The sequence below is a fragment of the Homo sapiens genome, chromosome 3 (genome assembly GCF_000001405.40).
Source record: "Homo sapiens chromosome 3, GRCh38.p14 Primary Assembly".
Lineage (NCBI taxonomy): Eukaryota > Metazoa > Chordata > Mammalia > Primates > Hominidae > Homo > Homo sapiens.
Window position 1 is genome coordinate 54,847,820 of NC_000003.12, and position 26,582 is coordinate 54,874,401.

At 45.6% G+C, this 26,582-nt stretch overlaps 1 protein-coding gene across 1 annotated transcript in view; it reads left to right on the plus strand.

The window, feature by feature from the left end:
* Positions 1-26,582, plus strand: part of CACNA2D3 (calcium voltage-gated channel auxiliary subunit alpha2delta 3) — a 952,006-nt gene that overhangs the window by 725,268 nt on the left and 200,156 nt on the right. Inside the window, exon 18 of the mRNA NM_018398.3 lies at positions 23,720-23,803. Coding sequence (NP_060868.2) covers positions 23,720-23,803 — 84 coding nt within the window. The remainder of the gene's footprint in view (positions 1-23,719; positions 23,804-26,582) is intronic.

The following is a 26,582-nucleotide window of genomic DNA, read 5'->3' on the forward strand; positions in this document are numbered from 1 at the left end:
GGTTGCCCAGTTGGCATCATTTGTTGGAAGTAAGAGAAGTTACAAGTTTGCGTGACAGAGTTTGGACTCCTAGTGTGTATTTATTCCAAATTGGAAAGGAACAGAGTCCATGAAACAATCAAACCCAAATCTTCTACCAGTAAATGGATTAATTTCCTATTTATCATTGCCTGTCATTTAAAGGAAAAATGAAATGGAATCAGATGTCAGAAGTCACCAAGGTAGCATCTTTCTCTCTGTGGCAATGGAAATGATTAGCTGCCCGCCACACAGTCGACTCACAATGTGAACTGGTCCCCACAGTGCTTTGCCAACAAACATTTGCCTAGCAGTCTTTTATGTCTTCTGGCCCTGCAGCAAATGGTGTGTTTGTAAATAGTCCATCTGATGCACTCTCCAGAGCTGTGGCCCCTGAGAGGGCAGCTGAAAGGCTCTTGGAAAAGCAGACCAACTCCATCAATGCTGTTCATCTCCTAAGAGTACAGATACTTGTAAACACATGCCATTGCTGTTCTTCTGTTGACACACCAAAAGTGGTAGTGGTTGCTAGGGTCAAAAGTGGTGGTGGTTGCTAGGATTTTGGCCATGCCATACATGGGGTGGCCCAAACAAATGCCCCATATTCTGTTTGTGAGAACCCAAACCATATGAACCATGTTGCAGCTGATCCATGACAAGAACATAAGGAATGATCAGACCTGTTGGTCATCTGTCCCATTCATCTGTCTCTCACCCTGAGGCCATCAGATACTTAGAAGAAGTTTAGGGTGATACCAACCGTTAAGCATTACATGAATTAACCCATCTGAATGTGGTCAATAAGTGTATGTTGACTCTGACTTGAGTTCTGCATTTTCCTTCTGAGCAAAAGACGCAGCATAGTGGGAGGGACTCAATTCCAGCATCACACTGTGAAGCTCAACTCCTAGTCCCACTACATCCACACTATGTGACTTTGGGCAATCACACAGGCTCCCTGAGCTGCACTTTTCTCTTGCAATCCTGCCATAACCATAGTGCATAGATCGTAGCTTGTTGTCACAGTAAATGAGATAATGCAAGCAAAGGACCTGGTGCAGAAAAGCAGGCCCCAGAATATCTCAGAGGCAGTAGTGGTTATTTGGACATCTTGTTTGTGTTTATTTTCTATTGTTCTGTCCTCAGCTTCCGTAAAGGTTGGAAGAACATGGTGGTAATGGATGCTTAAAGAGGCAACCTAAAGAGCACTTTTTGATTATTCAGGTGATTCAGGTTTTTGTGATAGACATTGGGAAGGGATCGTGTACATACACCATCAGTTTTCTTTTTGGTTCTACGGCAAGCTTGGCCAACTGTGGTCTAGAAGACAAGTAGACAACTTGTACTAGAGGTTCTATGTGAGTCCTACCATGTGAAGAAACCAAGGTTGTTTGTTTGTTTTAAAGGTAGCAATAAGAATAATACTAGCAGCCACAGTAGCTAAAGAATGATAGCTAAGAGTCAGCCGGCATGAATACCCGTGGCTCTGGCGTGCACAAGTTGTTTGTTCATCTCTGTTTTGTTCACTTATCCCTGCTTTCCCCCTCCTCCTTCCTTAACCACCAGTCCCCTCAGCACAGAGCAGGGACTCAGTAGATGAATAAGTGAAGGGATCCTCTAAAACCAGTTTCATTTTTACTTACTTTAGGTTCTTCTGGAGGTTGTAAATGACTTGTGAACTTACCTTGGAAATCCAGTGTCTTCATGGACCATAAATCCATCCTGGCCAGAGCTCTCAGGCATGGCTAGGAACAGCCAGCTGCTAGCAGCTTCTCTGGCTAGCTCAGGCAGGGAACCCTCATTCAAACTCCATTTGTCTCCTCGCAAGCCCAGCCATATAATCGAATCCTTATTACAAATGGACGATCCCCTTAGTTCTGGCCAAGGCTGCCAGATTAGCACGGTGAGTGTGAGTGTGGGGTTGTGGCCAGCATGGGGAGGACACAGCAAGCTGACTTAAAATAACTCCTATTCCCTCTCCATCTGCCATGGACTTTGTTTCGGCCCCTACAGCCAGAGGAAAGAGGTGGGTTTCTCTGAAGCACAATACCAATATTTTTCTAATTTGTCCTATAAAATCTTTCCCCTGAACTTAATGTTTGGCTTGATTTTATCCAGTATTTTCTTTAATCTTGTGTGATTTGGTTGTGAATCACAAAGTGTCTCCAAGAACAGCTCAGACATAGGGGCCTTAATCAGCGGACTCACTTTGGTTTAACTGGCAAAGCTGCTGAAGCAATGCTTCTCTGTGATCTCTGGGCTCTCCTTAGTCCTCCTCTAAGGGCTTCTCAACCTTTCTGTCCTCGCCACCAGCTTGTGACTTCCTGATAGATTAACTGATGTTGGTTCAGCAAGCATTGCCCTTGTGCCTGGTGTGGCTCAGTCCTGTGTTAGACTGAAGACTGATGAAGTAATCTTCAAAGGGGCCGGGGGGCTGCAGCACAAGTGGGGACAGACACCTGTTCTCAAGGTGGGGAATGGAACAACAGCACGTAGCAAGAGTGATTAAATGCTCTTGATCTTGAGAAATGCTTTTTGAGTTGTTATGATGCCCCTGGAATGTTTGTTTGTTTGATCGTTACCACTTGTTAAACATTGAAGTATAGCTACAGACTAGATTTTGTTTTCTTGCTTTTTATAATTCCTTTGTATTTGAGAGCTTTAGGAATTTTTCTTAGAATGTGGAGCCCTGAATAGATCTCCTTTTCTTTTGCCCAACAGCGGATTGGTCATCCATCTGTCCCTACCTTTTAGAATAAAGGGACAGCTAAATTGATTTCCTTCCCCCAAGGAGGAGGTCTGGAATGTGGACCTGGTCAAACCGACAGGAGAACACAAAGGAGGTTCCCTTTCAGCAGCTGCAGCAATGGCAGGGTTCCACAGAGGAGCCTCAGGCAGGCAAAATTTAGGACTCATTTCCATGAAGCCTGCATTGAAATTGGCCAGAAGCTGTTTGCTCTGTGTCTGCAAACCCAGGAGATGAGGAAGGATGCTGTAGGGTTTTCATTCTGGATGAAAATCTGCCAGTCACATGGGTCACATATGTGGGAGTGGATGAGATGGGAGGTAAAAATGATGGAGAGAAATTCACATTCATTCCTTCAACATACACTGAATGTTCACTATGTTGTAGGCTTGAGCAAGCTGCTCAGAGAGGTCACAGAGATGTGCCCTACCTCCAATAACTCAAACTCTAATAGGATGGATACGATACGTGTATCAGTAACTGTGGACAGTAGAGAAGATGCGCTTTTTATTTGTTTGTTGTTGTTGGTATTAGTATATTTTTCTAACATTCACTGATTCCTTTTTATGGGACAGGAACTATTCTAAGTGTTTCACATGTGTTAATGCTTTTAATCACTGACTAATTGAATAGCAAGCCTAGGATATTATGTGCCTTGGAAAGGCCTAGAGGCTTAAGGAAAGGATGAAGGGGAGGGGAGGTCCAGGTGGAAGATACATCTAGCAGCAGCCTGGAGTTGAAGTGAGGACAACTGTGAGTACTGGGCTGAGCAGCTGGGCTTCTCTAAGATGAAGGTAAATATCCTCATGTTACAGATGGGAAGCTGAGGCACTGAGTCCTAAGGTGACGTCTCCCAGATCACATAACTGGAAAGTGCCAGAACTAGGACCCTTAACCCCAGTCAGTTTAGGTGTACTAAGTTCACTCTGCTGCGTGGGTTCTTCAGGAAATGGGAGGCAGAGTGGTTGGAGGGTGGGAGTGACTGGGATACCTGGTCTTTGCAGCCATTTGGACCAGTACCGAGGTAATCATGTCAGAATCTGTCTAGACTTAACACTGTCCAGTAGGAATATAATGTGAGCCACAAACAGGAGCTGCCTATGTAATTTCAAATTTTCTAGGAGCCACATCTAAAAGAATACAAAAGAAACAAGTGAAATTAAATTTAAGAATATATTTTATTATCCCAGCATATCCAAAATATCAGTGTTTCAATATATAATCAATGCAGACATTATTAATGTGATATTTTACATTCTTTTCATGCTAATCTTTGAAATATGATGTGTATCCTACATGGCACATCTCAATTCAGGCAAGCCACATTGCAGGTGCTCAAGACCCACCAGTGGCTGTGGCCCCCATAAGGGACAGCACAGGTCTAGAGTGTGACCAGACATTTTGGACCCTTCTAGATAAAATGGATTATAGGACCTCCTCTTTCCTTAAAGTGGGTTAGAGCAGGCTCTATTTCCACCACCACCCGTCATTGTGCCATCCTGGAAGTCTGGGCCAACAGTTAGTGGCCAGTTAGCCTCCTCTGCCGTGGCCACCACCCCTCCCTCCCTCCCAGGCTGTAGCCTCTCCAGTGTCCAGGAGTGGAAGTGGGAGGTTGCCCAGAATTCAAGGGGCCTTGACTTGATTGCCAGGGCAGATGAGCTCCATAGTTTGGCCTGGAAACTCTGCCTATTCTAGCCATGTAGGTTCACCCCTACGCCATCTAGACTTCCGCAGACAAACTGTCATGGAGGCCAGTGGGTGGAAAGCAGTAGCCACACTAGGTGAACCTGAGCACTTAGGTCATCTAAATCAGAATGTTTTGATGCCAAAGCCATTTCTGTTGTTCTGGAAAACTCAGATGAACTCTTGAACGAGTTTAAGTTTTCCTAACCCAAGAGTCCTCGCACCTCCGCTGGAATTTAATATTGCTGTTTCCACCACCAGCTCTCCACAGCCTGGGTTCCAGGATGGCACTCGCCTTTCCCTGTGTCACTCTGGACTGTCCTTGCCCCATTCCAAACATGGATTCTGCTTCTTTGTTCTTGTGGATTCCTGGGCAGTGCACGTTTGTTAGTGGTTATAGATGGGTCCTCATGAAAGGTTATTAAATCCATGGATTGATACATGGACATGCTAATCAGTGTAAATGTTCTCACACTTTAGTCCTCTTGTATGGAACTAAGTGGACATCCCCCATGGACACATGTGAATATGTGTTAAATGCTAACTAGACAGTGCACATCAAACATCAGTTTAAATAAGGGTTTAAAAAGGTAGGAGCACTTCTAGAATCCAGCTGACTTAGTTCAAGCAATAGGCCATAGGAAGAGATTCTGTATAATTCCAAAGAATTTAGATGTGAAAGTCAAATGGAATTTTTCTTAACTATGCAATTCCGCAACTGAGGAAATAGCAGGTCCTTTCGTCCGTTCCTCAGAAACCGCAAGCTCCTTCCTGCTCCAAATTCTCATGCTCAACTCTTCTTTACCTGAAATCTTGTCCCAGGTACACCTTTTACTGGCATTTTCTCATCCTCCACTTCTTAGCTCAGATGTCACCTCAGAGAAGCATCGCTGCGCCCACCCAGAGAAGCCATACTCCTCCATCACTCTCCATCACATCCCCTGCTTTAGTTTTCTTGAATCACCACTCTTGGAAAACGTCTATTGTTTAACTTCTCCCCTGTGGTCCTTTGTGAATAGCTGGGAGTTTGCTACTACACAGAGCGGGTAGTCAGTAAATATTTGGTGAATGATCTGCAGGATGTTTGAGTGATGCTGATGGTTGGATATCTGAGTACCAGTTTCTTACAATAAATGAGAAGAGCAGGTGACACACGTTCATTCACCAAACATTTGTTGAGTCCTTGCTACGTCGGGTGCAGAAACAGAAATGTGGTTGGTTAAGCTCCCTTTTCTTTTCATCCCTCCCTATCCCCTCCTGCTTGCCTGCAAGCATTCATCAGATGTCCTTAAGTCCAGCACTATGCTATTTAATGGAGACATAGAAGCAGGTAGAAGGAGGTCTCTGCCCACAAGAAGCTCATCACACAAAGCAAGGGTTCCCTGGTGGTAAGAGGGACCAAGAAGAACTATGGGCTCACAGACAAAGTCTCTGCTTTTCCTTAGAGGAAGGGTGCCCTGAGATGCAGAAGGGCTTCCCAGAGGAGGTGGGGGAGGACTGCACTCAGCAGATACTCTACAGTCTCCCCAGGATCACTGACCTCAGGCCTGACTTCTCTGTCTCATCTCAGGACCATGCATTCTGCCGGCCACAGCCTATGGGGGTGGGGGGATGGGGAGTTGGGCCTAGCATTGTTCACGGAACTTTCGGTGGTCCCCAAATGCAGGGATCTGTTGCCAGCCTCCTGGACCCCCGCTCTCAGGCTGCTGCTGAACTGAAAGAGACTGTCCAGTAGGTGGCGCGCGGGCACCGCCGAGTACCCGGTCCCCATGCAGAGCCAGCCCCTGCCAGTGCACATTCTCAGAACAGAGCCCGGGCGACTGCAACCTAGGCCTGGTCTGAGTCCATTTCGTTTAGTTTCAAAGAAAGAATTAACAGAGGCTTAGTAAGTGTATCTGCTCAGAGGAGAGCGTTCTCTGAGAAAAAATAAACAAGACTGTGTGACCCCACGTAGCGAGCCTGTTCTTTTGGAAATACATCATTTGGTTTGAAAAAAAGAAAGAAAAAGAAAACAGAGCCTTGTGTGCTTTCTTCCTGACGGAATTGGTGAGGGCACCGTCCTCACTGCCTGGTCTGGGCACGAGTGGACAGATTGCAGCGTTGAGGGGAGGGCTTACAACTCAAGTCAGTGGGTGCCTGGGTTTCTGTTGGGTGGGAGCTACGCCCTTTCTGCAAACCTTGAGAACCCACAGCTCCTGTGACTGGGTGTGTGCTTGGACACTCAAGGGATTGATGGGGTCTGGAATCAATCCCACAGGTATTTTTTTTATTATGGACAGTGTGCTTATGAATCCCCTTTGGGTGCCAGGCGCCGCAGCACCCAGGCTACCAGGAATCACAACACTGCCCTCACCACGGGTCTCGGGCCAGGCCTTGTGCTGAGAGCCCTGGGTGCCTTGCCTGGGTCAGTTCTCATTGCCTCGTGCGTGGAGTGCTCACCACAGAGGGGTTGACTGTGTGTGAAGATTCTCTATATATAATGATTTAAAAAATTAAATTAATAAATAACTACATATTTGAAGGGCAAAAAAGATATTCCCTGATGCTTAGGCCAAGGAATGTGTCAAGCAAAAAGTAAATTCGGGTCAGTCTTCAGAAGAAAAACCAAGAAGACAGCTATAGATAATTACCCACCTCTGTGAGCCCATAGTTCTTCTGGGTCCCTCTTGCCAGCAAGGAACCCCTGCTTTGTAGGACAGTGTATTTTCTTCATAAAATTAAGCTTATTCAACTGAAAGAATGTTCTTTAATCCTGAAGCTGTGTCCTCAGGTTATTTGACAAAATGCCAGGTTGGGCTGCAGAGCCTCTGTCAGCCTCTCCAGACAGCATCCCCCTGGCCCTAGGATGCCCACCTGTATGGAACACAGCAGTGACCCCTCTGATCTGGGCTGCGACTCTGGGTCTGCTGAGTGGGGGACACTCACAGGAAATGGAGAGAGGGGAGGGGAGTCAGGCTGTGTGTTCACCCGTGTCCTCTGGGACTGGCTGCACCCCCTCTAAAGCTTCATAAGCCTACTAGTCTCCGGGCTCCGGCACCTGCTTCTCCCTCTGACCCTTCATGCAGATGGGTGGGTGCGCCCCACTGTTTCTAACTTCAGGGTGCTGCACCATTTCCTGTCATTTCCTACACCCTGCCCAGGCCTTTCCAAGAGCCTCTTTACTAAATCCTCCTTAATTTGCCAGCTCATGTATACCACGTGCTTCCTGCTGTGGCCCTGAGTGATACGAAGGTGAGAATACATGGAAGGTTTGTCTTTTATAGTCATTACTCTGCCAGGAAAGAAAGAGAGAAAGAAGAAAGGAAATATGGAAGAATGCAAAGAAAAGTGAAGGAGGGAGAGAGGAAGGAAGAAAGAGATGGAGGGAAGGAAAAAGAAAAAGGAAGAATGAGAGACCCTCTGTCCTTTATTGATTGATTCATTCATTATTTATCTATCTCCCATTGTAGTGGGAGTGGAGAATTTCCATATTCCCTTCCAATAAGCTCCCCCTTCTGCTCAAGTGATTAAGAATTGTTATCTGTTGCTGGCAACCAGAGCAGCCTGACTGATCCAACCATGAATCCCAAAGTCTGGGAACCACTGCTGGGTGTGGCTCTGACCCCTGCTCTCAAGGAGCTCACAGTCTGACACCACCTCCTGCTGCCCTGTCACCCCTCCTTTGTAAAACTTTAGTCCTCTCAGCCTCCCCTTCCCCCACAGAGGGGTCTGTCCCCATTCCTCAAGTCTTCTTGCATGGACCTTTGAGTCTGGGCTCCCCACGACATTGTAGAAATATCATGACACATCTGCTCCTCTGTGCTGCAAGTAGCATGAAGACACTGATGAGACTGTGTTTTGTTCAGCTTTGTATATCCAGGGCCTGGTGAGGTACTTGGCAAAGGAGGTGGAATGACAAATAAATGACGAGAGAAAACCCATGTGTAGGAAATCGAGCACACAATGAAACAATATGTTATCAAGCACCACGGTTGAGAGTACTGACAAGAAGGAGAATTTATGAAAGTACCTGGTGTCTCGCTGTGCACTGGGTAGCTAGGGAAGGCTGCAGGGAGCTGGTTTGCAGCCTATAACTTTGAGGCCACAGTCCAGCATGCTTGGGAGCAGCAGAAGGCCTTTCAGATAACATGGATGAGTTACTTGCTCATTTGTGTGTGACTGGAACCCTTCCTCCCTTCCTTTTTCCTCCCATCTTTCCCTCCCCCACCTGCTCCTGTCCTTCCCTCACTTGGCATTTGTCTGTTGAACACCTGTCATGTGGCAGACACCCTATTAGATGCCAAAGATCTAGTGATAAAGCAGATAGAATTGTCCCTTTATTTGGTGTTTTCATTCTCATAGAGAAGATGTGGGTTTTTAAAGTTCTAAAACAAACTGATAAATAAAAATACTACACAATTTGGATAAGCTCGCCAAAAGAAACAAAAATCTGAGAAAACAAAAAGTCGGGAGAGGTACCTGCCTTAGTTAGATGGTCAGGGAGACCCTTTCTTAAGGATGATGGTTTTTTCGTTTGTTTGTTTTTTGTTTTTGAGACAGAATTTCACTTTGTTGCCCAGGCTGGAGTGCAGTGGCACAATCTCGGCTCACTGCATTCTCCACCTCCCAGGTTCAAGCAGTTCTCCTGCCTCAGCCTCCTGAGTAGCTGGCATTACAGGCACCTGCCACTATGCTCTGATGACTTTTTGTGTTTTAGTAGAAACAGGGTTTCATCATGTTGTCCAGGCTGGTCTCAAACTCCTGAGCTCAGGCAAGCCACCTGTCTTGGCCTCCCAAAGTGCTAGGATTACAGGCGTGAGCCACCATGCCTGGCCAGGATGATGTATTAAGCTGAGTCCTGGAGGATGAGAAAAACTGTGGAGACTGGTCCAGGCTGAAGAAACAGTGTGTACAAAAACTCTGAGGCATGGGGATGGTGAATATGCTGGGTTCTGGAATCTGTTCATAGATTTAGGCCAGATTTTCAAAGAAGGGTAGGTGACCCAGGTTTTGTTGACAAATTCCTATTTGAGGCTGCATGTCGTGAAGTCGTTGCTGGTACTGCCCCGTTTCCTCCACTCTGCTCTGACCATTCCTGTATGTGTAGCATGGCTCATACCTGACAGCAGCTAGGTGAAGGCTTTCTCTGGCTTCTGTAGTCATCTCTTCTCAGGCATGCAGCAGACAAGATGTGACGAGAAATTAGCATCCCTCAGCCAAAGACTGCCCTTCTCAGGTGGGGTGTCTCTGAGGGTTGTGTTTTACACTGGCTCCCAGAGTTCCCTGATGGGATTATGCCACAGTTGCCCGTAGTGGTAACATGCCTGCACCCTGTTGGCTGCCCTCCCATCTCTGAATCACTTTGCCATGTCCCTGCGGGTATTTCCTGGGAATCCCTGTCAAATAAAAACTTTGCACTTGAATCCTGTTCTCAGGGACTTCTGAGAGAATTCAAGCCAAGACACCAGCAGGCTGATGTGTCTCTGCAAAAATTGATTTGCTGTAGACTAGAGCTTCAAATGCAGTTTTGAGTGCTCTCACATAGGCTTTTACATTAACACCATGGCGTTGAGCATGCTTCCCATTCCATTTCAGGCCCCTGAGCATGTATTCCTAACACACCAGCCTGCTTGGAGAATCCACATTTGCTTGTAGAAGTACCAAGGAGCCTTGGCTTTATGCTATTAATAACTGAGAGTAGGCACTTTAAGGAAATTTGATTTAGAAGATAGGATTCTCGGCTGCTTTATTATTTGAAGAAAGGATTTGATGAGGAAAAGGCTTTTCTTTTCACTGGACACACTCTGACCTTTGTTCTACTAGATTAATTTCATATCTAGAATGCCCCATCTTGGATGATGAATTAGCAATAAAAACCTCATCAAAATGTAATTACAGGCAAAGTGTTGAATAATGATCTCTTAAAAATTCCTGTAGATTTGTCTGCACCTCCTTCCCCTTGTGGGGGAAATGAGCCTCAGCTGCCAGCTACTAGCCTCAGCTCAGGAATGCAGACCCTAGCCCTATTGCAAGGCTGGGATGTGAGTGCTGGCTTCTAACTTGCCCAGTGTCATCTAATTGATCAATTGCTTTTCTCCATGTGATTGATGCACATCTTTATGTAATTTAAAGGACCATCTCACCGGGGGTAGGAATACACAGGAAGTAGGAGCTCAAGGCAGAATGAAACACTCTCCTCTTCCATCTGTGACAGCCTGCTGGGGGGAGAGAGTTATTAATTAAAATGTTAACTGCCCAGACAATAGCAGGCAGAACAGCTTGGAGAAAGCCTGAGAAGCAGGCATTGCATTAGAACTTTCATAACTGCAAATTCCAGGAAAGTTTGTTCCTCCTTAAAATAGGAAACAGAGCCATCTGCCTCTAAGAGGAGACTCGACTGGGCTGCTTAAGTGATGTTAGACTTTCCCAAAGAGCACATCTTGTTTGTCTCCGGGGAGATGGACTTGACCGAGAGATAACCTAGCCTTACCCTCACTCTGTTGTGGGCCCTGTAAAACCCTACAGCTGGATCTGACAGCAGAATATCCAAATGGTCCCAACTGGGTAGATGCCCACATTCATTTGAATAACTGAAGAATTCAATCATTTGAATGCCAATGATTATTCCTCTGGGAGTTTACATTTTAGAAAGACCTTCCATCTGAATCCCCATGAGAGCATTAAATTGCTATCTAATTAGCAGTCCCAAATTATATATATTTAAAAGATAATTAGAGGTTTGAAGGCTGTTGGAATAACTGGTTATACATTTAAATGAATCACTAGAAATTTGTTGGTAATGTGTGGAGTTTTCTTTTATTTCTTGCTCCCCTCTTTGAAGTTCAGTAGACCCAACCTCGCGGGGTTAAATCTGGTAGCAGTAAGATGAAGGCAGACTTCTTTAATTACTGCAGCTCAAACCTCCAAATAATTATAAGCAGCTGTCATTTTTACATAATCCTAAATGATAAGACCCAAAGAATGCAAATAAAAATGTTGAGACCATGGGCTCTTTGGCACAATAATTTAATCCGTATCACACCACTGCACTGAGCATTGTACTTCATTGAGGAATGTGCTCCAACCGTGACACACTTAGGTGAACTTTCATCATCATGTGATAGGCACATCTATTTCCAAACACATCTCCCAGGTGCCATTTTTACATTCTCTGTGGAGGTTGCTAGGCAAAGGGAAACACTAATACATTTGGAATTTTGAGGCAAAGAAGGAGCTTGGCTAAGCCAGGCAAGGTTTTTGCTGAAACTTCTTCTCAGCCTCACTTGTCCCTCTCTCCTAGAGATGGAGTCTACCCCGTGCCTGCCCCAGTGGCCCCCTCCCTCCATTATGTAGCATGATAGGATTGTCCCTGGGAGCATTTGTTTGGCCTGTTGCTGGGGTTTTTATTGGCTTGGCCACTTCTGTGTGCCAGCTAACCAAGGACAGAAATCCCAAATGACAAACGGACCTACCAGCTCCAACCTGGTAGCCTCTGGGTTCAGGTCTTAAATTCCATGCTTTTGATGCCTGTCTCTTCCTGGAAGGGCAAGGGCCTCTTGAGGAGCAAGTCAAGGGGACATTTACTGCAGCCATGACAGTTTCTTTCCTTTGAATCCAATGACTATAATACCAAAGTCCATAAGATCAAGGTAGGCAATTCACCCCAGGCAGAGCTGAAGCCCCACTCTGCAAGAGACAAATTTAGAACATCATCTGGAAAGTAGATGCACACACACACACACACACACACACACACACACACACACACAAACACACATATTCCAAATTAGATCGGCAGCCCAAGGATCCCTCTGCTAAGGAATGCTCAAGCTGGATTTAAATTGGGACTGAGACCTGGCTTGGCAGAAATGTGGCCAAGCAGAAAGGTTGGCCCAGTGAGCTAAGCTGGATTCCTTGGGAATGGGAAATAGAAACAGATGAAAGAGGAGAGAAGTCAGACCAAGGGTTTATCTGGAATATTTAGAAGCTGACAGACATCACAGAGTATTTTTACCTCTCCACAGTGAAGAGGTGTAGAGATTTTAGAAATGTATCCTGAATATTAGAACCAGTTAAAATATTCTGATTCTTCCAAATGCCTGCTTCTCCCAAAGGGCCTCTCCTGGAGTTTCTAAGTCTCTAGCTGCACCCCAGGAAGAGGATCTAGTAGTAACTGGGAGGGGCTGGGACTTTTATCTGACTCCCAGGATTGCTGCAGGTTTTTCATGAATATGGGGTTGGACTCCCAAGTTAATGAAGCCCATGTTTATCCAGGCTGAAATACAAATATAAATGTTATGTTCGTATATATTTAAAGGGAAGATTCATTTGAGCGTTAATGATTTGAAACTCAGCTCTGCTCAGTATGGAATTCTAGGGACCTGGTTAATGGTGACTGTAGGTCACCTTGCTGTCATCCCCTTCCTGCGTCCTCAGGATACATCTCAAGTAGGCACTGGGCAGTGATTTCAGCTCCAGACTGGGAGGCTCACTAGTGCCTGTTTCTCTATGGAGCAGAGCAGTCTCTGAGGTCAGATTCTGGGGCTGAAATTCATCCAAGCTACTTAACCTTCCTGACCTCAGTTTCCTCCGCTGAAAAATGAGAACAAAAAAATAGTGCCTACTACATGAGACTGTGATGAGGGTTAAATGAGTTAATGTTCCTAAAACATCTAGAAAAGGCCAAAAACATAGGTCATTGTTATGCATGTGTTTATTAAATGACTACATAGACTAATTTGTTCATTCCCTCGGTCCACTCATTCGTCACATATTCATGGGAACCTGTTCTTTGCCAGGCACTGTCCTAGGCATGTGGTCCGGTGGTGAACCTGAAATAGTCTTTTTACCAAAGATGCTTAGGACCTAGTAGGGGAAACAGGCAAGTAAGCTAATAATTTGCAGTACAATGTGATGGCTGGGGAGATAGGGCCATGGGAGGCTGAGGAGAGTATGGGAAGGACTTGACCTGACCTAGCCTGGCCAGGTCAGGACAGACCTCCAAGAGGAGTTGAAATCCTGAGGGGTTAGCAGAAATTGACCACGACCCTAAGTTGGAGTAAAGAGAATTCAGAGCACATGGGGTGGCATGTGCAGAGGCCTGAAGGCAAGAACGATGATGACATTTTCAGCAGCCAGCTCAGTCTAGCTGGGGAGTACAGTGAGAGGCAGGGAGTGGCGAGAAAGAGGCCAGAACAGCAAGCAGAGGCCAAGTCACAGGGACTTGTGGAATTCTGGACTGTTGGGTGCCATCACCTAGGACATGAGGAGCTATGAGGATTCCAGCCTAAGCAGTGATATGATCTGATTTGGGTTGTGAAAGAATCTCTCTGGCTGGACCCTGGAGAATGGATTGGAAGGGTTAGAGTACAGGCAGGGAGACCGCTTAGGGGATGCCTGCTTGTTATCAAGGGCAGAGCTATCACAGTGGCTGACACTAAGCTGACGGCAAGATTGATATGATCCAATTCCAAGAGGCATTTAGAAGATAGAAGCAATGGACATGGTAGGTTGATGGGTGCTGCTTGCTTTGCCTGGCTCACGCCACTTTCTCTGATTATACTCACCCATTCCAGCTCCTGCCTGTGTTTCCATGGTCACAGGCAAATATAAGACCCAGAGAACTCAGTCTTACAAGGGACATTTGGCTTTCCTCTGAGTTATGAATCACATCAGAGCTCTCTTGGGTTTATTCAGACCAGCATGCATCCAGAAACATTTTTAAAAAGACATATCACTGTAATTGAGAATCACACACACACAAAATCAAAACTGAGTATTTTGCTGGATCACCTATCCGGTCGAGAAGACGGACCAATGATGGACAAGAACCAGCTCAGTTTGGTAGTCGGAACATGGCTGGGGCTTAGAGCATATGTGTACAAAGTGGTCACATACATATTTATACTGTAAAGCACAGTATCCTCAGAGGGTTGCAGAAGAAGGGCCACCCCATTTGAGAAAGGAGAGAGACTCAGCTGGAAGGATCTGGGAAATTTCTTTCATGGAAAAGGTGGCCACAAAGATGGAGCCCTTCATGTCTTTTCTTCCTTCATAAGTATCTTCAACAATTTTTAGCAGGAAAAGCAAAACAAAATAAAGCTATTAAACCAAGCATCTCCCTAAATAAAATTACACACACACACACACACACACACACGCACACACACGCACACGTGATGAAGGCTCAGCATTCTGACGTTGGTTGTTGGTTGATGCTATTACAGGCATAAATCAGGTAATGGCAGTTGGCTTGGAAGAAAGAATTTCTTTCCCTCTTGCCTGCATCCCTTTATTAACTTCACTTGCAAATTCATTGCCAGCTTCCTGCCCTGCTTGTCGTTTAGCATAAAAACCTGAAGTTGAAGGCTCTCTCTGTTCCTCAGCCATCTCAGAGATGGTGAGACTAGAGTCCACTGCCCAGGGACTAAGTTAAGGAGAGGCATTGGAAATGGGGTGACAGGATATGAGTCAATGGGCCCGAACTACTTACCACAGGAGGAAAACCAACAAGAGAGAACTCCCTCTTCCGTGGTGGTTAGCCGTGGCATCTTTCGAAAGTTAACATTTTGTAGTGTTGATGGATACTACTTTGAGATTTTACTTGAGTGAATAAAGGAAGTCAATGTTTTTGCAGTTTCAAAACTAGAATCAATTAGTTGTCCCTAATTGTACCTCATATTCAAAACGGTCTGACGGCTCCACATACCCAAAAGTCTTTTGATATGGTCAACTGCTCAAAGGAATAATGTCAAAGAAAGTTCTGTAAATTTTTTAAAAAGTTACCTGCCAAATGTCACAGACATACTTTCAAATTATAGAGGTCCTCTTTTTTACCCTGGATGTTCTAATGACACAGCAGTTTCTGAAAACTTTTATGAACTTGGCTTTGGAGAAGGCATATATCCACGTTCGAGAACTCAGTGCAGCCCTGTCTGAAATTTATTTCGAGGCTGTCTTGCATCTAACTTTTGTCGAGGAGACTTTAGAGACGGTTTTGTTTGCCTCTAAGTGCTCCAACTCATCAGAGCAGATGCCCCTGGGTGCCCACATGGATCTTTATTTTGCATGCCCATCTGTGTGTGTTCCTTCCTCTTTGCCGAGGAGCATTCTTTTCTCAGCGTTACTCCTTTGCCTACAGCAGAGGTATGGAGTTGCCACTCTCCCTCCCTGCTTTCAGAGTGTCCTGTTCTCTGTCCCATTGCCGGCACGAAAGGTTCCTCCCAGCTCAACTACTCAGCACTATTTTGATTTTTATGTCTAGCTTGCTGTTACAAGACCAACTGGCTTTTTGAGAATGGGAGCTTAAATCCAGCCTCGGTGTGGTAAGCGTGTTTGACCTACAAAAACGGTGGTGGGCTAAGCCGCCTCCTCCCCACACACAGTGCTGTGTGTGACTCATGGCTACCCAGAGGACACTGATTAAGATAAAGGTCATTCAGGTTTTCAAAGCAGCCTGTTAATTGTTGTTTTTTTTTAAAAAAAAAATACCAAAGCTGTTTTAGTTTTACAGCGATCAAAAGGATTTTGTAATCATACTAAGAGAGCACATACAACTTTTCATCTTTGAGATGCTTAAAAACATTAATTAATAAGAGCACAGTACCTTTTAGAAAAAGGAAAGGGCTTGTTGTCTTGACATGCCCCGTTGCCTCCTTCCCACCTTCCTGCTGGTTTTTGACACACCCTCATGACCCTTTTTCTCTGCAGTATATCTGGGCTTCTCATCTTTCCGTGACATGTAAGATTACATCTCCGAATAGAGGCTCATTGGCATTTTTCTCTTGGCATAATGTCTATGTCGTCCCATTGGGCATCTTGTCTAGAGAAATCTGGGCTGTCAGGGAGTCACACATCCAAGGAGACAGCACCATTTCAGTGGAAATCCAAGCTGAAATGATATCCTCCCATACCACAAGGGTTCCCTGAGGCCCTGAGATGGATATTGGTGAAATTGAGTAAGATATTGTAAGTTGGGCATCAGCATATTGCTGCTTAACTCACTGCAGCCACTCAGTTTATTGTAGGTGTTCTTTTTTTTTTTTTTCCAAGACAGTCTCTCTCTGTCGCCCAGGCTGGAGTGCGGTGGCACAATCTCAGCCCACTGCAACCTCCGCCTCCCAGTTTCAAGCAATTTTTGTGCCTCAACCTCCAGAGTAGCTAGGACTACGGCACACACCACTGCGCTCAGCTAATTTTTGTGTTTTTTGGTAGAGATGGGTTTTTGCCATGTTGGCCAGGCTGGTCTCAAACTCCAGACCTGCCTCAGCCTCCGAAAGTGCTGGGATTACAGGCGCGAGCCACTGTGCCTGGCTTTGGCCTAGGTGTTCTTAATCTGACACTGCTTCTCCTCTCCCTGGCCACCAAGCTCAGTTTCAGGGCAGGCCAAATGAGTCAGCTGGTAACAGAGACAAGACCGGCTAGTGGGATTTGACTGCCAATGTGATTCTGTGACTGTTAATGGGTCTTCTGGGTCCAGTCCCATCAGCAGTTGCCACCTGAACCAAGGACCTGCATTAGCCAGGAGAAGAGCACCTCAGGTGAGGCAGTGCCGAGGGCCGGTGACCACCAGACCACAGGCTCAGAAACGAGGTTGGGCTGGCTGCACCACGATGCTGCTGCCTGTCAGCCATGTCACCACGTGACCTGCCTTTCCTGGGTGCTGCGTTTTCCCATCTCTGAAGCAGTTATCCCTCACCTGGAGTTGTGAAAATGAAACGAGACACGTACCGCTGTTAGCACAAAGCCTGGCACCAGAAACATTCACCTTCATGACGAATGATGGGAAGTGCAGGGGGAAACTGCCCAGTGGGGGAATAATCGCTTTTTTATTCTTTTCTAAAGGCACTCACTTGGAAAGCAGAACAAGATTAGTTACTACATTTTATAAATTCCTTTTTAGGAAAACAATGAACCTTGAAAAGTGAAAACAGTAACTGATTCAAAGTACTTTTACCCTTTGGGAAAGAGAGCAGAATGGCAGGTGCCGACGCCGGTGTGGTGTTAGTAAGGGCAATATACTTTTCACTTTGTATACTTTTCATTATTTTCCAAATTTTCAACAATGAGCCGTTATTACATGGATAAGAGGGGGAAAGTAAGGAAACACCAAATGCCCAAAGTACTTAGATTGTGACTCTCTCAAAGTACTTAGATTGTGACTTCATGCCCCCCACCTTCCCGCTACTGATCCCCAAGGGAGTAGGGGCTGACAGAGGCCACTGGGGCTGCCTTTCCCCGGGGCCACCTCCTCTGAGTCTGTTGCAACCAGAGGCCTTGATGTGCAGCTGGCAACATGGAATCAAAGGGGAGGAGGCCCTCACTCTGCCACAGGCCCCTCTGGCCTTCGCCTTGACCTTGAGACAAATGAGCACCAAGTCAGGTCGAACAATCTCCTTAAAGGAATAGGGCTATTTATAAACAAGATACTGTTATGAACTCCCTTTGCCTGTGAAGGAACTTCCTCCCTAGGGGTGAGCTGCATGGGGGCAGGGGCTGCTGCATCTCATCAATCAGTATCAGCCATTGGTACTGGCCAAATGGGCGTGTTTTCAGGCCATATTTATTAAGACACAGGATGTGCTGGGCTCCTTGCTAAACCATGTTTATACCCATTTGCTTCTTAGTGCAGCACTGTAAGCTGAGTGCCCGTACCTCCATCTTACGGATAAGGAAAATGAGGAAAATGAGGCACAGAGACGTGCACACCTAGCCCCAGACCACACAGCATGTAGAACTGATTAGAATCAGAGTCTGACTCCAGGACCCTGGCTTTAAGCACCCTTCTCAATGGGTTCCCTTGATGAAGCCTGATTCACTGGTAGTGAATTGGGATCAAGAACATGAGGGTGGGAGCTCATTCTCCCTGGGTGCTTTTCCATGCCCTCCAAGGCTTGCCCAGGCCTGGCACAGAGCCTGAGAAATATTAGGTGTCCAACAGTATTTTGGATTGTGTAGGTGAACAAATGAGTGAATGAGGGAAAGAATGGATGAGTGAGTGAAGGAATGAAGTGCCCTGTGGCCATTGGTCCTTATCTCTTGCATATGGAGGAGTAAGGCGTACCTACATCCCTTCTCCTGAAATGGTCCCTTGAGCCTTGGGGAGGAGAGAAGACACAGGGCTTCAGAGGAAGTGGTAAAGGTCTTCACCAGCTGAGGACTGCGGCTGCCTGGGAGAGAAACATCTGCCCCAGATAATCGCTGGCTGTCAGCCCTCGGTCACACCCCATGTCCAGATGGCATTAGCTTTGGGCAAAGTTTCTTCCTCTCCCACCCCATCCCCTTCCTTCCTGTTGGCAGCATGGAGTGGCACATATAGATTATCAATTATTAGCACACACAATATTTGTTCCACAGAGGCTGCATGGATGTGTACAGCTGATTTCCTCTGGCCTTTCCCAGAACACAGAAAGAGCAAAGGGTTTTTGTTTTATTTAAATCAACATGGTCATCATCTTGGCCCAGCCCACTGTGCTTCCAAAGTCAGTCTCTAGGTAACGCAAAGGGGTGCTGGTATCCAGACCATTAAATATGGCCAGGAAGGCTCTGTGCTGCAGGCAAGTCCTGGTTCCAGCTTGCTCCTCGGATGAGTGCCCTCTCGTCCCATCCTGCTAGGCCAAGGGCTTGTTTGTGTGTTCCCCACATCTGGCCTTTATTTGAAACTCCACCTCGAAGTATTTCATAGCACAGAATATCTTTCCTTATTAAACTCTCCCCCACAGATTTTTTTCGTAAAACAGGCACCAAAAACTACAAACCTACCTGTGGCTCTCAAAGTATCTGTTTATAAACCTTTGGAAACCGTTTGCAATTAGTTAATCACATTTTCAAAGGAAGTTACAGATTATAGATACACTAACAAATGCCATACACGATGCTTAGGCCCCGGTAACCAACTCCTCACGCAGAAGAAGAAGAAGTGGTGGAGCCGAGGGACCTGGGATTTGTCCCCTTTTAAAACTGCATGGGAGAAGGGAGATTGGGCATGGGAGTTGGACATATGAGAATTTAGTTCTTTTTCTGTCACTCATGGGGGTGAGGGGCGAGGGGGAGTAGGCAAGGAGAAATCAACTGTGCCCAGACGCAATCGTGTATCTTGGAAAACAGTGAGGCATTTTATAAATCACATGTTCCTCAATAATCATGGAAGCACCAGTGTTTGTGAATACTTCACATAACATGTACTTTAAAAGCCATTCATTTGAAAAGAAAAAAATAAAGGAACTAAATATATACAAGTTGGAATTCTGTTGACTACTCAATGCTTAAGATCTAAGCCAGCTTTAAAAAAAAAAAAAAGGCCTTTAAAAGGGAAGGGGGATAATATGGAGATAAAGTATTGATACATGAAACATCCAAGGATTTCAGGTACAGCCTGATCCAGGTGCACACACCACCTTTTCAGGACTCTCTTCATATCTTTTCTCTGCTTTCCCTGCACTGGCTTCATGCCCAGGAAGACTCTCTCCAAGTAGTGGCAGAGATGGCCATGAGCTATTCCAAGCTCCCATCCTGGCACCTTAGCAACTCCTCTTTTCCTGGATAAATCCAGGAATGCATCCCAAATTGAATCTCTTGAATCTCATTTGAATTTGCGTGGGTTATGTACCCACCTCTGAACCAGTGACATCCTGGAGCGATGTGGGCCTCCCCCACTGATCAGGCCACATGAAGGATGGTTGTACCTTCACTAGAATTATGCTTAATGGGAGTGGTGCCCAAGGAGTTCCCTACAGGAAAACCGAGGTGATTAACCTGGAAAACATGGGGAATGGGTGGTGGCAGGCCAAAGCATGGGAACCTTCCTAATGGAGTGCCACTCTCTGGCCTTTTAATGTAGTTTCTTAGTAGGGGAAAAGAGGTAGGTGGATTTAGGCTTAGTACATTAGAGTTGTCTCATAGCTCTTGGCCTGTTATATCTATGCAACAGCCCACTGACTTTTCCTTTTCTCACTCAAATTAATCACTCTGCTGCATGACTGTTTATATTCTAAAGGAGCTTATTCTCTAAAAAAGACCCAAATGAAAAGTGTTTCATACCCATTTTACGTACCTGGCTAAGCAGACATTGTAGAAGGGCATTCTTAAACAGTGTTCCAGAGGAAGTATCCCTACCCCCGATCTGTATCTTGCCATGAAATTAGACTATAGAGACTTGCTGGAATATGGTGGCTCATGGGCTAGTATGATGGGAAATCTTTTATTCCATCACTCTCTAATCATTCCAAGTATCTTGAATACCTTTTTGGTGAAATATACTGTATTTATTGAGAGATTATAAAAAACGAATAAAGACATTTGGGGAGGATCAGAAGTCAAGAATTCTCTGCTGATTCCACCTTTGCCAAATACCATCTAAAATGACTTGGGTTCTTTAGCGCAGGTATGAATTTTCGGCCAGGAGAGTCTTCAGTTCAAACTTGTAAGCTCCACACCAAGCAGAGACATATGAATGTGATTGTCTGACACCATCATAGTCAACAAACAGCTTCTGTCTGCCTATGGTTTGCAGAATGGTGACCAGTAAAATTATTGAATGGTCTTCTTCATTTCAGGAAAATGAGATATTAGCCAATTTTATTCAATGAGCCTGTGTCATTCCACAAAATGCATGACTCTCAGGAATCTTGCTAGCTGAATATTAAAATATTTTACTGTGCCTGGGAATGTGTTTGCCATTTTACATACAATATTTCATTTAATACTCTCAACCTTTCTTTGCCATGGAGGTGCTATTGTTTTTACCCATTTTGTAACTGACGAAGGAAGCTTGGAGTAGCTGGATACCTGGCTCAGGATCACACACCCAATGTGATGTGAGTGGTGTGACACGGCAGAGCCACTGTGACCTTCTCCTCTGAAAAAGACACGTGGACACTTTTTTTGAGGACGAAGGAACATTTGTTGCTCTGGAGCTTGTAGTCTTTTTTCAAAGCTCTTTAACAGTGGTTGAAATAACATGAGGCTTAGACATGAAAATTTGACAGAGGCTGGTGTTGGGTGGGGTGTCCTCTACCATACAAGCTATGCGATCTTATTTAACTTGTGATTTAATTTATTTAACTTGTGAGAACCTGTTTTCCCAAATGCATTATGGGCAATAAATTGACCTTAAAGAAGCAGAATTAAGAAGGATAAACCACAAGTAAGTCCTTGGGAAAGAGTGAAGCACTGTTTAATTGACTTTGTATCTTTAGTGCCTTGCACTTAGTAGTAGGTATACAATAAATGTGCATTGAATAAATGAATAAAGAAGCACTTTGAAGTGACCAAAGAAAGAACTTCCTCAAAATAGACAGTTTAGATCCAGTATCAGGCTACCCAAGAAATTACGAAAGTTCTGCATGTGAAGTTCAGGATCTGGGCTGTGTGAGTTTCTGGGGTACCTAATAGTTCTCAGTAATGGTTCTTAGGTAACAGAGGTCCAGAACGACTGTCTGACTCTAAGTCCTCAGGGGGACACTACTATCCCTGCCCCGCACTCCTCCACACTGAGGGGCAAGGCACCGCTGCTGACAACTCCGGTTGACCTCGTTGCTGTTCTTTTCTGTTCAGCCCAAGACTGCATCTCACAAGGACCAGGGCTTCCATGCACACAGGAACTTTCCTTAACAAGATCCAACTGCTAATCTGCTATTGTTTACAGTGGCTTCTGAGGGAACCACTTTCCTTCCCCTTCATCTGGAGTGGATCTGATGTCATAAAACTGACCGTGAATGTCTGTTAATTGAAAACCTAAGAGTAGTGGGGTGGGCTCACCGTTGATCAGGGTGGTAAGAGCCCACTGGCCATAGGAGGCTAGGCACCATCCTAGGTAGTGGTGAGGAGGGGGAGTCTCCAGAGAGGTCGCAGAGTTCCTGAAATGCAGTTGACAGGTAAGAAAAGAGTGCATGCGTGGACACTTGGCCCTGTTTGGCACCACAGTGGTGCAAGATCGACCCCTTCTGGCCCTCCCCTCATCCCACTGGGGGTCAGTTTACACTTGTCTGGTTCAACATATGGGTGGCAGTTTTCTCCTTCATGCCCAGTATGGCCTCAGCACCTGTCTCCATAGTAGCTGATCAGTGTCAAAAATGGCAACCTATGGTTTTGGGGTCTTAAAACACTTAGACTGACCCTGCATCTCACTTAGAACCTTCCAGTTAAATCAAAAGATGACCAAGCTGGAGAGAAAAGTGAAAAAGAAAGCAGTATACATGCATATATATTTTTCCAATGTGCCATTAACCGTAACTGATGAACGTGTAAAGGGGTTGCTAATCCTTAGCCTGCAGCAGAGGGCAGACTTTCCTACATTATAAACACCCCACAACCAGCATGAAAGGCCTCAAGACACAAGAATGTCCAGACACAAGAACGTCCGGTCGATAAAATGGTAGGCTTGCAGGGTGACTAACACCAGTGATTTAGGGGAGAAAACTAAAACCACTTCCCCAGTTATTCATGCACTCATCAGCTTTTCCGGAGAAATGCCCTAACAGCCATTACATCTGGCTATGATTCCCAATACCCTCATCTACTCCAGGTAAAGGAGCCATGCTTAGTTCAGTACTGCTGTGGCCAGTGTGACAGCGAATAGATGGTTCTGTGTGTCTGCAAAATGCCACCAGTATGCTGAGCCCAGCCCCAGCTCTGGAGATCAGTGCTTTTGCTTCCTAGCTAAGGAGTACGGGTAGGTTTGAGACAAAAGGTAGAGGAGAGAGAATTATAAAGTATAGGGGGATATGACTAGATTCTTTGGTAAATGTAAGTAAGAAGCCCTTTCTCGTATCACGGACTGAGTTTTAGCAGCTTTGGGATACACACACACACACACACACACACACACACACACACACACACACACACACCATTCAATGGGAAGACAAATCCAACTGCTAACTAGTCTGCTATGATTTACAGAATTTACATTGTTTACATGTATACCATATAGGTGGAGACACACACACACACACACACACACACACACACACACACACACCCCCCATTCAAGGAGGGGACAGATTTTCCTTTGCATCTGGTGTTTTGGAAACCAAGAAGTCTACAAGGTAAATTCATATCAAGCAAAGAGTTAACTTTTCTACTCCCAACTTGGAGCCAATGTTTAGAGGCATCTGACCTTGGCTTTCCTGTCATTAAAAGTCCCTAGGACTGTCACCCTGCTGGGCTTCTCACCCTCATCGGTCCACTCCCAAGCCCTGTCCATGAAACAGGACTTGGGAAGGTAAAGATTGCCCTGGCTGATGACTTCACGGACTTTTGTTTTTCTTTTCTTTTTCTTCTTCCCCTTGCTAGTACGAAGAAGGAAAAAAGCGAAGGAAACCTAACTATAGTAGCGTTGACCTCTCTGAGGTGGAGTGGGAAGACCGAGATGACGTGGTAAGTGATTTGTTTTCAGGCCTCGTGGAGAAGGACCTGCATTGTACCCACTTCTGTACCTGGGGGCGATCCCAGGAGTTGGCCAAGAGGCCCACTGAAGGGACACCTGGCTACCAGAGGGACGTGGAGACAAGGGGCCTTTGTACCATGTGTGGAGTTTTATAACTCTTCAGCCGGTCAGTCGGACCAGTTGCAGACAGGCCAGCCACCCCAGCTGCTTGTGCAGTCTACTAAAACCATCCCCCTGCGGACGCTGGTCCCCTCTGCAGCTGATGACTCCAGCCTTCTTCCCAGTACAGTGGATGGCCCCTGACATCTTCAGTGGAACCTGGCTGGGCAACAGCAGGCTCTGCCTGGTGCAAAGTCAGGGTGCCTGCAGGCCAAGCAGGCAGGTTCCTGGGCAGCAAGAATTCACCTGTCAGGACCTCATTGGCACAGCCCTTGTTTTCAGAGTACAGCCCAGGGCTCTGCAGGCTCACTTTTCTCCTGCTTGGTCGGCTGCCCATTTCCTGTACCTTCCCAGCCTTTCATTCTGCTCTGGCCTTGCTGCAATTGCACCCCATGCTTTTTCCCCACGTAGATTCAGCCTATGGTGCTCTATCAAAAGCTCTCCTTATACCCATGACTTAACCCTGTCAGGTCTTCTTGGTACTTCCTCAATAAATCAGATTTCTTAGACACGGCTGCCTTTGTGTGAATCCAGGTGGACTCTCCTTAATTAAATCATAACTTCCCAGGTGTTTCCATCTGGGTCCCTACTCTTCCCTTTTTCTAAGAGTGTGTCTGTGCTGAGGCCACGTTTCTCTGCCCTACCCTCCCAGATTCGTCTAGGGTCCTTTCTTAAGTTCCACTGTTGAGTTGGCGTTGTTTCCATCTCTCACTGCATCCTGCTCTCCAAAGGGATGTTGAGGAGAACCATTTGAAAGCCCAGCCTGGGTTCTCATGCCTTCCAGAACAGGGGGCCAGCATCACAGTGCTTCCGCTGCAGCTTTCCTTCTTTCCACACGCTCTGCACTTTGTCACCAGCTCAACTAGCATAAATCTCTCATTTTCATCCTTGCTGGTAAAATGTGAGAGCCATACCTGTTTTAGAAACTTAGCCTCTTTTCTTCTTCATCTGCTCTAAGTCTACTTAAACCCAAGTTTAGACAAAATAACTTTGCCATTTGATAAAAGCTCCTTCCTCCTCCATACCCTTTTCCCCGCAAGCCAATGAGCTGACATAGTGTCAGCTCAATAGCATGGTCGAGTTTTCTATCTTCTTATTCCTTAAACACTGTCACAAGGATCCGGTCAGTTCTTAGGACTGTCCTGCACCTAATGTGCCCACCCTGGCTTAGCGCAATTGTGAGGAGTGCCACTCAGGTTTTAGACTCCTGCCAGGTTCAAATCCCGCCTTCTCTGCTTGCCGGATGTTTGTCTTGGGTGAGTGATTATGCCTCTCTAGACTTCAGTTTTATTTTGTGTTCTTTGTTTTATTTTTCCCCAAGAAAATGAGTGTGATGGCAGTTGTCCCCACCTCATAGAGCTGTTCTGAGGATTAAATGGATTAATAGATTGAAAAACAGAGAAGTACTTGCACTGTTCTGGGGAGTAAGTAAGCATTCTACAAGTGGTAGCCATTGTTAGTATTATTCTGACCTCCTCAGTCCTCAGGGGACCCTGTCATGAATGAATGTCCTGTGGATTTACAGTTGCTAGGAATCTTTGGAGGGGACTTTCCATTGTTGCCCTTCCTCTTCCTTCTTCACTTTATCTGTTGATTTATTTTTTTTGTTGTTTGCTTGTTTGTGACCTCACTGAATCGTCTCCCTTTTTGCATGCTACTTGAAGAGATGTATGACTCAGCTCACTCCAGTCATCACCTGTGCCCCAGCTAATTTTCAGTGAGCGAATGTCTCCTTTAGTAATCACAGTTTGGGAACACTTTGTATCTCCTCATCCTACTTTGCTTTCTCGTTGGAGCTGCAGGCATTGGATTCGCAGCCTCACGTGTGTGTTCTTCACCTCCACATGACACCCAGGACTGCGTTCTGTCTGTCCAACTTCAGAGTTGGACATCTCAAGCAAGTCCAGTGCTTTTGTTCTGCACAAATTGTTCTCTGGTTACGTCTTTGGTTTGAGTCTCTTAACTTGTCGCCTTGGAATATGGTGCATTTGGAATGTGAATTCCTTCTCTATCAACATATTTGACTTGGGAAAACCCAAACCACCATTTCTCTCCTGGGGATTTGCATGTCACTAATTGGAGAATTCTGGAATCTACAGAAAGCATCATTGTGAAGTCTGCACAAAATCTTACATATCCATGTGCTGGGCCTTGGGATTTGCACCTGAGTAGCAGAGGACAGGGTTTAGGTTGAAATCTAGGAAAGAACATGTAAGCACAGCCCACTGAGGAAGAAGCAGTAGAGTCTGCCCAGATGCAGAGAATTTCTTGGAAGGTGAGTTCTACTTCTCTAGGAAGTAGGCTCCTGAATTTAGTAACCACAGTTATAACCTGCATACTTCCAAAAATGAAGTAAGTTCATATATACTGTTACAATGTATATAAAATAGACTGGCTAAAATTAAAAGAAAAAAAGACAACAATTTAAAACTATTTATAGCAGTATGAGCAGGACTTCTGTCCCACTCTGCAGGATGAGTTAGGCATCAGGGCAGGAATACAATAAGTAGGGCAGATCTTTGGCGGACCCGTGTGCCAGCAGGGGATTTTGAGACATGCATAGCCCAGTCTGAATTGCCAGTGTAGATCCCCTCTGGGAAGGGAAAATTA